At 38.5% G+C, this 13,373-nt stretch overlaps 1 long non-coding RNA gene across 1 annotated transcript in view, besides 1 other annotated feature; it reads right to left on the bottom strand.

Moving 5' to 3' along the window:
- LOC101928438 (uncharacterized) overlaps positions 1 to 13,373 on the bottom strand; it is a 234,104-nt gene that overhangs the window by 170,108 nt on the left and 50,623 nt on the right. The gene's annotated exons all lie outside the window — the stretch shown is intronic.
- Positions 6,686 to 6,735: an enhancer, noted in NCBI's record as "active region_28715". NCBI's record gives its function as "activates an Ori minimal core promoter by ATAC-STARR-seq in GM12878 lymphoblastoid cells {active_cell/tissue: GM12878}" and the evidence as "EXISTENCE:reporter gene assay evidence [ECO:0000049][PMID:35858748]".

Below are 13,373 nucleotides of genomic sequence, written 5' to 3' on the forward strand. Positions count from 1 at the left end.
TTTTCATGAGACAATCTAGGGGAGCATAAGAAATAAAAAAGAAGAGGCCTTAGGACAGAAGCCTGATTATGTTCAATTTATTTTTTCTTTAGCCTGTTTCTCAATAAGGTACCTATTTATAAAAATTAAAGATATAAAAAATGCACTTCAACTGAAAAATTAGCATAGGACATAAAGGGATAATTTGTTACATGAAAAATACAATGCAGTACCCACATAGAAGATGTGGTTAATTCACTTGGAAGGGGGTAATTACATTCAACAACACAACTCCCTCAAAGGATCTTGAGTGAAAACCCTCTACTTTCAGGTCAAGTGGGTAGTGGATATGCGAAGACACAGACGGCATCTTTCACACGCATTCTCCCTGAAGGCCAAGTGCTAACCACAGAACTTTTTGTACTGATGCCTAGATAGCTACAGAGTGTCCTGAAGGCCATTCTGAATGGCCTATGGGCCATTTGCCCAGGTCATGAAAGGCATCCATGATGTGAGAGATGCACTAAGTTAAAGGTAAGTAACAGGGCTGCAAACGACAGTTGCCATGGGATGAAATGCCATGAGAAAGCAGCAAGTTGGGGAATGAGTTTCTTACGACCCAGTAAGAAAAGTGGATCTCAAAATTTTCTGTAGCCCACTAACAATGACTTGAATGATAGGAGGAATTATATTGTTGAAACATGGGCATGGACATGAAGCTAACCACCTTTTACTAGCATGATATACTTCTCTGATATGGCAAATCTCTGAAGGGAAAAATGAGTCCTCCCCCTTGTGTTCTCAAACAAACATTTTTCAGAGTTGGTCTAGATACACTGCAGGAGGCTTATAAAGCCCATCCAAAGCAGGGATCTATGTGACAGTAAGTCAGATAAGTAGATCATGTTACCCAAGAAGACCGTAATGATTCAGCATTCATCCAAGATGTAATTCACTGGATATCGGAAGATGGCCATGGAGTTTATATGCCAAATGGTCTTACCATGTATCAGGACTCATCAAAATACACCTGCAAGGATGGCATCTACATGCCACCTTTCTAGGAACAATGATAAAACTGTCCTGGCTGTCAAATTTCATAAAGACTTACTCCCCATGTTCAAGAAAATAGTGATAATGATGATAAGTGCTACCATTTATTGAGTACCTATAATGTGCCAAACCCTATGCTGAGAACTGTGCACATATTAGTTAATTTAATTCTCACAACAGCCCTGTGGTAGATAAACAAGACTTATAGCAACTTCTACAAGGTCACATAGTTAGAAAGTAGTAGAGTCAGAAATCAGAGCCTGATCCTCCTGGCTCCAATATCTGTGTTATTCACTTTATATTATATATTGCCTGTTCTACTGAGAGCCAGTAAGTGTTGTATATGATGAGCATGCTGAAGTAACAGTTGTCTTGCCAGAAATGGTGAACACCACTCCACCATTCTTTTTATTACAAAAGAGAACCAAGATAGCCCCGCAGGAGATGATAAATCTTCCACCATAAGTGTTGTCATACTTGAGAAGGACTTCAGTCTTGAGTTGAAAAGAGAGAACAGCCTTGGTTCTGTGGCAGCAGAAACGCCAGGCTTGGCCAGGTGCGGTGGCTCATGCCTGTAATCCCAGCACTTTGGGAGGCCAAGGAGGGCAAATCACCTGAGGTCGGGAGTTCGAGACCAGACTGACCAACATGAAGAAACCCCGTCTCTACTAAAAGATACAAAATTAGCCGGGCATGTCGACACATGCCTGTAATCCCAGCTACATGGGAGGCTGAGGCAGGAGAATCTCTTGAACCCAGGAGATGGAGGTTGTGGTGAGTCGAGATCACGCCATTGCACTCCAGCCCAGGCAACAAGAGCGAAACTCCATAAGAAAAGAAAAGAGAAAAAAGAAAAGAAAAGAAAAGAAAAGCCAGGCTCAAGCTCTATCACATCCCATCCCAGTGATGGGCACAGAAAGTGGAGGCCAAGTCTTTCAAATTCCCACATGAGAATTCTCACCTGTTTGCGGTAGAGTTGTTCAGAATTCCTGTTGGAGAGGAGGCAAATGGAATGGCACATAGCCGGGAACAAGCAAATGTTGGTGGCAGAAATGTGAAGTGACTTAAAACATATCTGGGGTATACTTAGGGGGAAGTTAAAGTAGCTTGAACATCCAGTGAAAAGTAGACACAAGCATTCTTGACTAACTCTTTAGATACAGGTTAAGGAGGACCTTCTCTTCAGAATGTGGCCTCACAAATAAGGACACCCATGAACAATGTCTGAGCTTTTGAGTCAGATAGAGAGCCTGGCCTGCTAAAACAAGGCTTCATCCACAGAGCTGCCCAATACTTCATCATGGAAGCTAGAATCCTTGGCTAGGAATACCTCTGAAAAGCAGAACACCCATTCTTAAACTGGGACTTAAAAGATAGTAAGAGTGGGAGACCCACTGTCCCCTGTGGAATTCTAAGTCTGGACTGCCAGCAGCAGTGGATATACATACATTTATACTTACATACACATATGTGTGCCCACATACACACACCAATAGAGATGGGTATACCACTAGTATTGTCTCCACCCTGAGGACAAAGTCTACCAATTCAGAAAAGTGTTAAAGATTTCAGTACCAGTTCAGTGTGAAGAACTCTCCTGAGGCTTCCTTGGAATTCAGCCCCAAAAAAACTTGAGTTCTTCCATTTTACCTCCAGGGTAAGAGGCCAGGACAATCACTGACCCCCACCTCATGCTGAAGCCTAAGCCTATGGATATCACTGATGGCATTCCCATCTGCTGTCACAGTGGGATAAAGAATACCAACAATTACAATGTGCTTGGCAATATGCAAGGGTAATAATAATATTCCCCCTAATACTGTGGCCATTGTCTATTCTATGACTACTAAAACTTTTTTTCTTCCAACTTTTAGTTTAGGTTCAACAGGTACATGTGCAGTTTGTTACATGGGTAAATTGTGTGTCACTGGGGTTTGGTGTACAAATGATTTCATCACCTAGGTAGTAAGCATAGTACCTGATAGGTAGTTTTTTTTATCCTCATCCTTCTCCCACCCTCCACTTTCAAGTAAGCCCCAGTGTCTTTTGTTCCCCTCTTTGTGTCCATGTGTACTCCGTGTTTAGCTCCCACTTATAAGTGAGAACATGCTGTATTTGGTTTTCTGTTCCTGCATTAATTTGTTTAGGATAATGGCCTCCAGCTGCATCCCTGTTGCTGCAAAGGACATGATTTCATTCATTTTTATGGCTGCATAGTATTCCATGGTGTATATGTACCATATTTTCTTTATCCAGCCCACTGTTGATGGGCATCTAGGTTGATTCCATGTCTTTGCTATTGTGAATAGTGTTGTGATGAACATATGAGTGCATGATTCCTTTGGTTGTATATCCAGTAACAGGATTGCTGGATCAAATGGTAGTTCTGTTTCAAGTTCTTTGAAAAAACTCCAAACTGCTTTCCACAATGGCTGAACTAATTTACATTCCCACCAGCAGTAAGTGTTCCCTTTTCTCTACAACCTCACCAACATCTGTTATTTTTTGACATTTTAATAATAGCCATTCTGACTGGTGTGAAATGGTATCTCATTGTGGTTTTGATTTGCATTTCTCTAATTATTAGTGATGTTGAGCATTTTCTCATATGCTTGTTGGCCACATATATGTCTTCTTTTGAGAAGTGTCTATTCATTGTAACTACTAAAATTGCACATGGAAATGACACAGAAGAGTTATGATTATATCATTTGTTCCCTAATGGTCACTCTTGAGATTCAATATGAAGTTATTATTTGATCTTGTCCACAAGGAAATAAGAATATTATTTCACTCCTACCACCTATGAGGAAATTCAGCCTTTCTTGGACCTCTGCTGAAAAAATGAGTCCTCAGAAAGTCAAAGCCTCATCTGTAAGATGATTTATAGAAATTTAAGGAACAGAGTCTTGAGATCTGGGAATAAACTGAATACTTTTGAAAACAGTTTAAATAATATTCTCATTCCATTACCAGAAATGATTGATTACTTCTGAATATGTAATAATTTTCCAGATTATCTTCCACAACTGTAACTTTTACCCTGGAAACTGGACTCTTATTATAGAATGGCACTGTGACAACTGAGTTTTCTTTAGACAGTAAGTGAATTGACAGTTACTTTGTATCAACCAGACATTTAAATATTTATGTGCAAAATCATAATTATGTAAACATTTGACAAAATATTCTAACCCAGAATACACACTGAAGAGAATATTCCTGAATCATTTCTTCTGACTTACTGACCAACTATCACATTTGTTTAATATATATAGGCTCTGATCTTTTGATTGGGTCAATTTCATATTTTCCAGGTTTAGTCAGATTTCAAATTTGAATCAATTCCTTAAATTAACTTTATAATCAATTGTCACATCTCTTTTCATTCAGAAAGAAGGAGGGCAGAAGTTAGAACTCCAACAAACTCACAGTAAGTTGCTTACCCACTCTGGAATTAAATTCTTCATTTGTAAAATCGTGTAGGTGGGGGAGGGAGGAATTCTGTAAAATTCTATGAGTACTGCTAGCATTTGAAATCATTTTCATTTTCTTGATTCTTCTCTCAACTTTTCATCCCTATTTGTCTCTTGATTACCACTCAAAAATCCTCTCATTTACCTTATTAATTCCCTTTTCCATTCTCTTCAGTGGCCTTTCAAAACTTTCTCTTCCTCTAGGTTCCTAAAATCCCCAATCACAAGACTCCACTTCTAGTTAGCTACTTTTCTGAGAAAACTGGAGCCATTTGAAGTGTTTTTCTTTGTACTTCCTTTCTCTTCCCCTCTGAATTCCTTCACACTGTATATTGTATTTTGCCTTTCAATCTTTGGCTCCAGGATGAAATGAATGTCTCTCCTTCTGGCAAGGTCATGTCCTTCACCTTTACTCTTGATCATGAACCCTCCCAAATCCTTACTTCCTTGCTCCTTCCATTCTTTTTCTTGAATCTTTGATTCCTCCAGACCAGTGATCTCTTCTTCTGCCTCCTCATGTAGATGAAGTCTTTAAAAATAAACAAACAAACCAAACCTTCTCTGGACTCTGCCCCCTCCCACAAGTTTCCTCCTCTTATCATCCCTTCAAAACCCAAACTATTAGAAGAGTGGTCTACCTTTGCTTTCTACATTTCTTCACTTGCTCTTACTCACAAATTCCCTCTAGGATCACAAATGACCTCCTACACACCAGACCAACTTCATTCTCTCAAGCTTCCTATGACATTTAAAACTATTGATGGCCTTATGCCTCCTGAAACCCTCCATTCCTATGGTTTTTCTTTTGACCCTGTACTATCCTGCTTCTCCTGTGAATGTCCTGGCCATGCCTCCTCTGATTATTCTTGACTCTCCTGCCCTGTGACACAAGCTCTTCACTATGGTTTTAGCCTTAGTCCTCCTCTCTGCATCCCCTCTGTCTATCCATTCATAATCCACTTCTTTGGGACTCTGTTGACACCTGAATCTCCTGTCCAAAAGTTCTCTCCCAAGCTCCACGCGTACATCTCTACCTGAAAGATAACTTCACCCATAACACTAGAGTTTCCTCAAAGGCACAAACCTTATTTTACTCATTTTTGTACTTCAACCTCTCACCTCCGCCATCCAGAGCCTAAAACAAGGTTTAGGAACTCAATAAACATTATTTAAGCAGAACAAAACAGTACTTCCCTACCAGCACATGAAACTCAACCAACATGAAATTAACAGCGGTCTGGTCCTTCTGACTTTCCTATTTCTCTTAATAGGACTTTCCTATTTCTCTTACCAACTTCTAATCCCCAGAATTTAAAATCTGAGCTTCAACTTTGACTTGTTCTTTTCCCAGTCCCTTGTATCTAATAAATTATCATATGTTGTTGATCCTGCCTTTGTTATATGTTTTACATCTATCCACTCATTTACCTTCCTTCTATCATATCCTCAAAGCTTTAATTACCTCCCACATATTTTCTTGTAATAGCTTCCAGAATCAGTTCCTCCGTCTCTCCTACATACTACTACCAGATTAATCTTCATGTAATATACTTCTCATATATTACTCCACACCTCAAAAATTCTTAATATTTATCCCTTGCCTAGCAATTACAAATGTCTTTCCTTAGCATCCAAAGTTCTTCATAATATGGCCCCCAAAATGCCTACATGCTTGGAAGGACTAGAGATCTACTCAAGTTACCTCAAAAAAAAATTTTTTTTTTTTTGAGATGGAGTCTTGCTCTGATGCCCAGGCTAGAGTACAGCAGCACAATTTTGGCTCACAGCAACCTCTGCCTCCTGGATTAAGCGATTCTCTTGCCTCAGCCTCCTGAGTAGCCGGGACTACAGGCGCGCACCACCACGCCTGGCTAAGTTTTGTATTTTTAGTGGAGATGGGGTTTCGCCATGTTGGCCAGGCTGGTCTTGAACTCCTGACCTCAGGTGATCTACCTGCCTCAGACTCCCAAAGTGCTGGGATTACAGGCATGAACCACACCATGCCTGGAATTTTCTTTTTTAAGAGACATAGTCTTGCCATGTTGCCCAGGCTAGTCTTGGACTCTTGTACTCAAGTGATCCTCCTGCCTCAGCCTCCCCAGTAGCTGGAACTACAGGCATGCACCACCACACCCAGGTAAGAAAATGTTTTAAAGCACACTCATTGTTCAATTGATAACTGTCAGAAAACAAGAAAGCTCTAAAACTCAACCACTCTCTCTTTCTATCCGTGTTGCTGCTTCTCCTTTCAGTTTCCCTTCTATTACTCTGCTTCCTCTGTTTATGCAGTTTCCATTCTCTGATAGTTTCGGCTAACACAGCACAATGTGGTCACTCCCAATACCTTTTAAACCTTGATAACTCTCAACACTTCCTTGTAGTTTCTGCCCCCACTAATTGGTTCAGTCTCTTAATTTACCAATTCCAAATGGCCCGTCTTTTCATGCTAGACCATAGAAATGTCACAGAACAGCCTATGGATGATGGGTACTTGGATCAGAAGCCCGCTCTATTCCAATCAGCTGTGATCCAATCACATGGGGAATGGGCAGGATAACAGGTTTAGAGAATAGACTCATTGGAAGCAGGGCCCTGAGCAGAAGAGATTCTTTGAGAAGGAGGTGGGGAAGAGCAAGCAATGTTCAACACCTCCAGGGCATTACATTTTCCTGCCTACCTATTCTCCTACAAGCACACCACACTCCTTTCAAAGTGGAATTGCTATCTCCCAAACCCATTCCACAATTCATTATCCCATGCCTTTGCTCACACTGTTCTCTCTGCTTTGAATAATCTCTAACCCTGTCTTATCATCTCAAAATGTACTAGCCAAAGGATGTGAGTGGATATAGAAGTAATTCAGAGAACAGTCAATGTACAACAAGAAAAGAAAGCTATAAAAAATTAATTGAGCACAAAGAAACAAAACTAAAAATAATGTGGGATATTGCCAATTAAATTAGCAAAAATAAATTTAGAATGATTAATGTACATTACGAGAGTTTTATTTCTTCCTATAAAATATAGCTAAGGGTAAATGCATTTAACTCATGTCAAAATTCCACAAAAATGTCCGAATATAAATAAAAAGAAGATGACCACATCTAATATCAAGAACCTTGAAAATAATAGCACCATATCAAGTAGTATTGAGAATACAGTATGGCTGATGATATTGCAAAATAGTAGAACACTTTTAGAAAGCAATTTACCAACATAATTCATTTTGGAAAGTACAGAAAAAATTAAACAGGAAAACAAAATTCCTTTCCAATTTGATCATCTAGAGAAAATCACTTTTAACATTTTGGTACACAGCATTCCATAGTCTCATATTATATATATTTTTTATTCTTTTTCTTTTTTTAAATAAAATTTGCATCAAACTAGGTATACTGTTAATTCTGAGTATCATGAACCTTTGCCTATGTCATTAACAGTCTTAAAAAAACGTTGTTTTTAATGGTTGCGTCGTAATTTATTACATGAATAGGTGAAGACAGATTTTTAACAAAAAACTCCTAATGCTAGACTTCAGATTTTGTCTTCTTTTTCATTATTACTGAAATACTGTAATGACCATCCCTGTATGTAAATCTTTTATGCACACCTCTGATTATTCTCTTAAAATAAATTCTCAGAGTACAAATATTTAAAAGAATTTTTAAAAAGTACTTCTAAATGTCAATTTAACCAAAACTGTGACCTGACAGTAGAATAAGAAGGGCAGGAAGGAGGAATAGATAGTCTAAGAAAACTAAAGCCCCACTATCCATAGTGGAAAGTCATTGGTGCATAAAATGAAGGAGTTTTAAAGTTAATATAAGTCTGTTGTTTAGAAATAAGGAGGTGAAAAACTTAATAAAGTGGAACAGTGAACAGGAATCAGGTGTGGGAAAATATGCCACAGGACACTGCTGTATTCATCATAAGTCTTATTTGTTTTGACTTTTTAAACTATGCATTTATGTTGGTTTGATAAAGATACAAATCAAATTAAAAATAAAAACCAGCAGTACCATTCAGATGTGAAATATAGCAGATATACAAGTTAGTTTAAGTGTCCACAATTCTCATAATTACAGAGGAATATATATAAATACATATATATATGCTACAAAGACCTTAAATTGATAATTTTGTGAATTTTTACAAAGAATCCTCTGTAAACCAAGCATGTGCTGTGACAGATACAAATAAATACTCTATTTTTTATGCTTTCCAGAGATAAAACAATTATTATCAACAGTAGAAATAATCTCTCCACATGGCTCAGCTAAGTAATATTTAAAAATTACCTATGCAGAAAACCATCAAGTTTCCTCTTAAAAATTTATAAAAATAGAGGCAAGTTAACATACCAGCTATTCAAGGTAAAGTTTAAGAAAGTAGTGAATTTTTCTTTAGAAAAACTCTTTCATTTTTTCGCCTACTAGAGAACATGCTATAGGCAGTCCTCACCAAAATAAAAAATTGGAAAAATAACAGGAAAACTAGCATAGTGGGAATAAATGAAGATTTAGAGACCTTAATTCCCAGGAAACTTTGTCATAGATCTTGCCATTTGTACTTGATAAATGTTTATTTCTTCTTAGTTCACTTTATTCCTGTCCCAGGAAAAGAGAAGTTCTATCACACCTCAGAATATTAGTACCTGCAGAAAAAAATCCTCATAGTGGCCCCAGACCCAAATTATTCCCCACAACGTGGAGGGCACCTGTATAGTAAATAATAAATCAGGTGAGTCTCCACTACCCAAAATTGTTGTTTTTGTCTCCTTCACCAAGTAGTACACAAAATGGAGCTTTTAGAGCCAGACTCCTGTCTCTTGTTCCTTCCTCATAGTCTTTTTCTGTCCTTTTCCTCCTCACCACTCCACATTTTTCCCTTAATATTTTCCACTTCTTTCTTTCCCCAAACCTCATTTCTGGGTTTTCCCTCTTTCTCTCCTACGACCTCACCCCCACTCCATCCACATCAAAGAACTGAGGTGAGGAAGGAGAACGTTTCTTGCTCTTCCTCTATTTCCCTACATGAAAAATAACTGTAAATTTTACCTCTGGGTAATAGAAGTCTGCAATGAAGGCATCTAACAAAAAACCAGCTGACCTTGTAAGTATATCTCAGACTAAACTATGTGTAAGTTTATTGGAACTTCATGAACACTTTTATTTTTGCCTTTGAGTAACTACCATTTGGGTACATTTATTTTTATTTTCAATGGTAAACTAAATGTATAATTGTGTTTTCTATTTCTACATTTATTATACCCCCTTTAAAATGTTTTGTCTAATGACTATTATGCTACTTTAGCATCCACTCACATAATGCTTCCTTCGCCAGCCTTTACCAAAATCTCTCTCTCTCTACCAAATAATGGGTATTTGGAAGAGAAAGGTGAATGTTCCTTATTCTCATCCAGGTCTCTGTACTGACCAACATGGGTCTCCGTGCCAAGAAGTAAACAACATTATGTTCAGTCCTTGGGAGCAGCTACATCCAAATATTATATGGAGAAAAGTTCAAGTTCTCGTATAACATGAAACTTTGAACTCTGAAAAATGTGATTTAGAATCCCAACAAATCTGACTTTTGGAATGAACATTCCATCTTCCAGTCATAATGGAGATATTACAAGAAGAACCTGGAAGAGGAGGATAAGATTATTCTATTTGACGAATACCTCAACTAAGAAATGGGAGAGGATGCCAGAAATAGTTGGCTAAAAAGTAATATGGCAAGTATTTAGATTGTACAAGCAAGCCTTTACAGAAAATCTAAATTTCGAAAAATTATATTCAAAATTATGCTTGAAGTATAATAAATCCCAAAATATCACCTTAAAACAGTCATATAAATTAGGATGGCGCCCACGGGTCTAGGACTAAGGCAGAACCCATAGCCAATATTTGTCGGTGAAGAGACAAACTGCTGAATAGAGTTAGTACATAAATTTAGGATTACAAAGTTCTACCTTCTACCAGAACAACTAGGTCAAACTGTTCCCACTAACAGATTTTCCATTCCTCTTTTGCAGTATCATGGGCTAACCAATTCATAATCGATTTTTTAAAACTTTAACAGGCCCACTATATGTTAATCATTGGGTTAGGGAACTTATGAACAAAATATCAAAATTCTAAGTAAAGACAAAATTAGTATTGCCTTAGGCTCCAATATGGCTTGGCAAGGTACTATTACTGATTCTATCTTTATTTAAAATGTCAACATTTTGTTTATCGTACATCTTTGCATTGATTTTTTAAATATTGCATTAAAATGTTATTTAACCTTGATTACTGAGTTTTTCCGTTTCCCTTTAAATTTTACACTCTAGGTTTGACAGTTAAGTTTATGTGTCAACTCAACTGGGCCGTGGGGTGCCCAGATACCTGGTTAAATGTTATTTCTGGGTGTATGGGAGAGGGTGTTTCTGGAAGAGATGAGCATTTAAATTGGTAGACTGAGTAAAGCAAATTGTCCTTCCTAATGTGGATGGGCCTCATCCAATCCATTGAAGGCCTGAATAAAACAAACGGCCAGGTAAAGGAGAATTCTCTCTCTCTCTCTCTCTGTCTGAGTGCCTTCAAGCCGGGGCACTGGTCTCCTGCCTTCAGACTCAAGCTTGGACTGAAACCTACACCATGGGCACTCCTGCTTCTCAAGCCTTCAGACTTGGACTGGAACTGTCTACCATCGGCTCTCCTGGGTCCCCAGCTTGCTGACTGCAGATCTTGGGACTCATCAACCTCCATAATTGCATGAGTCAAGTCCTATAAATAGTAAGTAAATAAATAAATAAATAAATCCTGTTAGTTCTATTTTCTGGAGAACCCTAACCACTATACTAGACAAGTGGCCCACTCTCCTCTTACTTGTCTCAAATTGATTTCTTTAGGTCACATGTTCCAGATGCAGCTAAGAGATGGCGGAGTTTCCATTGCCCTGGGTCCTTGATGTACCAAGTCCCCCTGCTAACTCATGACGGACAGGTGGCATGAGAGAGAAAAAAAACTTTTGTTTAATCCTACTGGGATTTGGGGGTGAATTTATTATTACCAAAATTGTAATAGTGGTTATTGTTGGATAGTATAATTGTGGGAAAAAATTCTTCTGAAAAGGGCAGGTTTTGATCAAACCTTGCTCAGAGTTTACAATCTACAACAGGGGTTGGAAAAGTTCTTCTGAAAAAGGCCAGATAGTAAATATTTTAGGCTTCGTAGGCCTTGTGGTCTCCATTGCAGCTCTTTAAATATGCTATCGTAGTACTAAAATACCATAGACAATACTGAAATGAAAGAGTGTGATGTATTTCAATAAAACTTTGTTATAAAAATAGGCTGTTGCCAGGGCACGGTGGCTCACACCTGTAATCCGAGCACTTTGGGAGGCCAAGGCGGGCGGATCACCTGAGGTCAGGAGTTCGAGACCAGCCTGGCCAACATGGTGAAACTCTTTCCCTACTAAAAATACGAAAATTAGCCAGGCACGGTGGCACACGCCTGTAGTCCCAGCTACTTGAGAGGCTGAGGCAAGAGAATCTCTTGAACCCAGGAGGCGGAGGTTGCAGTGAGCCTAGATCGCACCACTGCGCTCCAGCCTGGGCTATAGGTTGATGGAAACTCCACCATCTCGTAGCTCCATCTGGAACATTTGACCTAAAGAAGTCACTTTGAGAGGTAAGGCAACAGCTTAAGAGTCTCACAGTGGCTCTTCTATGCTTAGCCCAGAAATGACACACATCACTTTCACCACAGTCCATTGTCTAGAACTAGTTACATAATTACAGGCAACTGTAATGGGGAGGAGGTTAGAAAATCTCAAGGAGATAAAATGCGACATTTGTGAGCACCACTCTTTGTCACACTAAAAATCACACTAATATACAATTTTATTCCTCTCTTTGCCCTTAAAATTGTATTATATATATCATAGGCTTTTCCCCACGCCATTACATCTCTTCATAAACATACATATAAAAGCCTCCACTCCTAAATCATCACTTTAGGCTTTTCCTAAGTATTTTATGTGCATTTTCTTATTTAATTCCTACAACTAGTTTATGAGGAAAATACAATAGTATACCCATTTACGGTCCTGAAAACAGAGGCTTAGTGAGCTTAAGCTATCAAGTGGCAGATCTGGGACTCAGGGTTATCAGACTTCAAAGCCCATCCTCTTAGCCTATATGAGGATGAACTAAAGAACTGTGGTCCTGGTGTGAGACACACAACCACTGCAATAGGTTATTGATCAGAAAGTGCATCAGTGGAGTAAAAAAGGATGCATCAAACCCTAAGGACCCATTATTGCCAGTAACATGTGGACAATAGAATCAATGGCATTGAAACCAATGAAAGCCTGATCAAATTTTCTAATTCTTTCTCTCTCTTTCTCTGTGAGGTGTTTGGAAAGATAACTGGCCTCTTTGGCTTCATTAAGGCAGCTGGATTCTTGGACCATCTTGGAGAGAAGGAGAATCCTAGAAACATAATGGACTCCTACTACTCTGGAAATTTGGAGTTTAGCCAGGTTTCAATTGGAAAAAAAATAGAAGAATAGTAAACAGAGGGATCTTCTTTTTAAAACTTAACTATAGCTATTCTATATTTGATATATGTTCGCTACTTAAAGTAAGGATTTCTAGAGTTAGTGGAGAGCGATCTTTCTCTTTTTGCCATCCTCACCTGTACACCCAAGGAAGACAAGAAGACATTTATACCCACGGTTGTGGGTTGAATTGTGCACCCTCTCCCAAATATATGTTGAAATCCTAACCCTAGATACCTCTAAATGTGACCTTATTTGGAAATAGGGTCTTTGACATGCAATCAATTTAAAATGAGGTCATATTTGATTAAGGTG

Source organism: Homo sapiens, chromosome 9 (genome assembly GCF_000001405.40).
Source record: "Homo sapiens chromosome 9, GRCh38.p14 Primary Assembly".
In the NCBI taxonomy this organism is placed as follows: domain Eukaryota; kingdom Metazoa; phylum Chordata; class Mammalia; order Primates; family Hominidae; genus Homo; species Homo sapiens.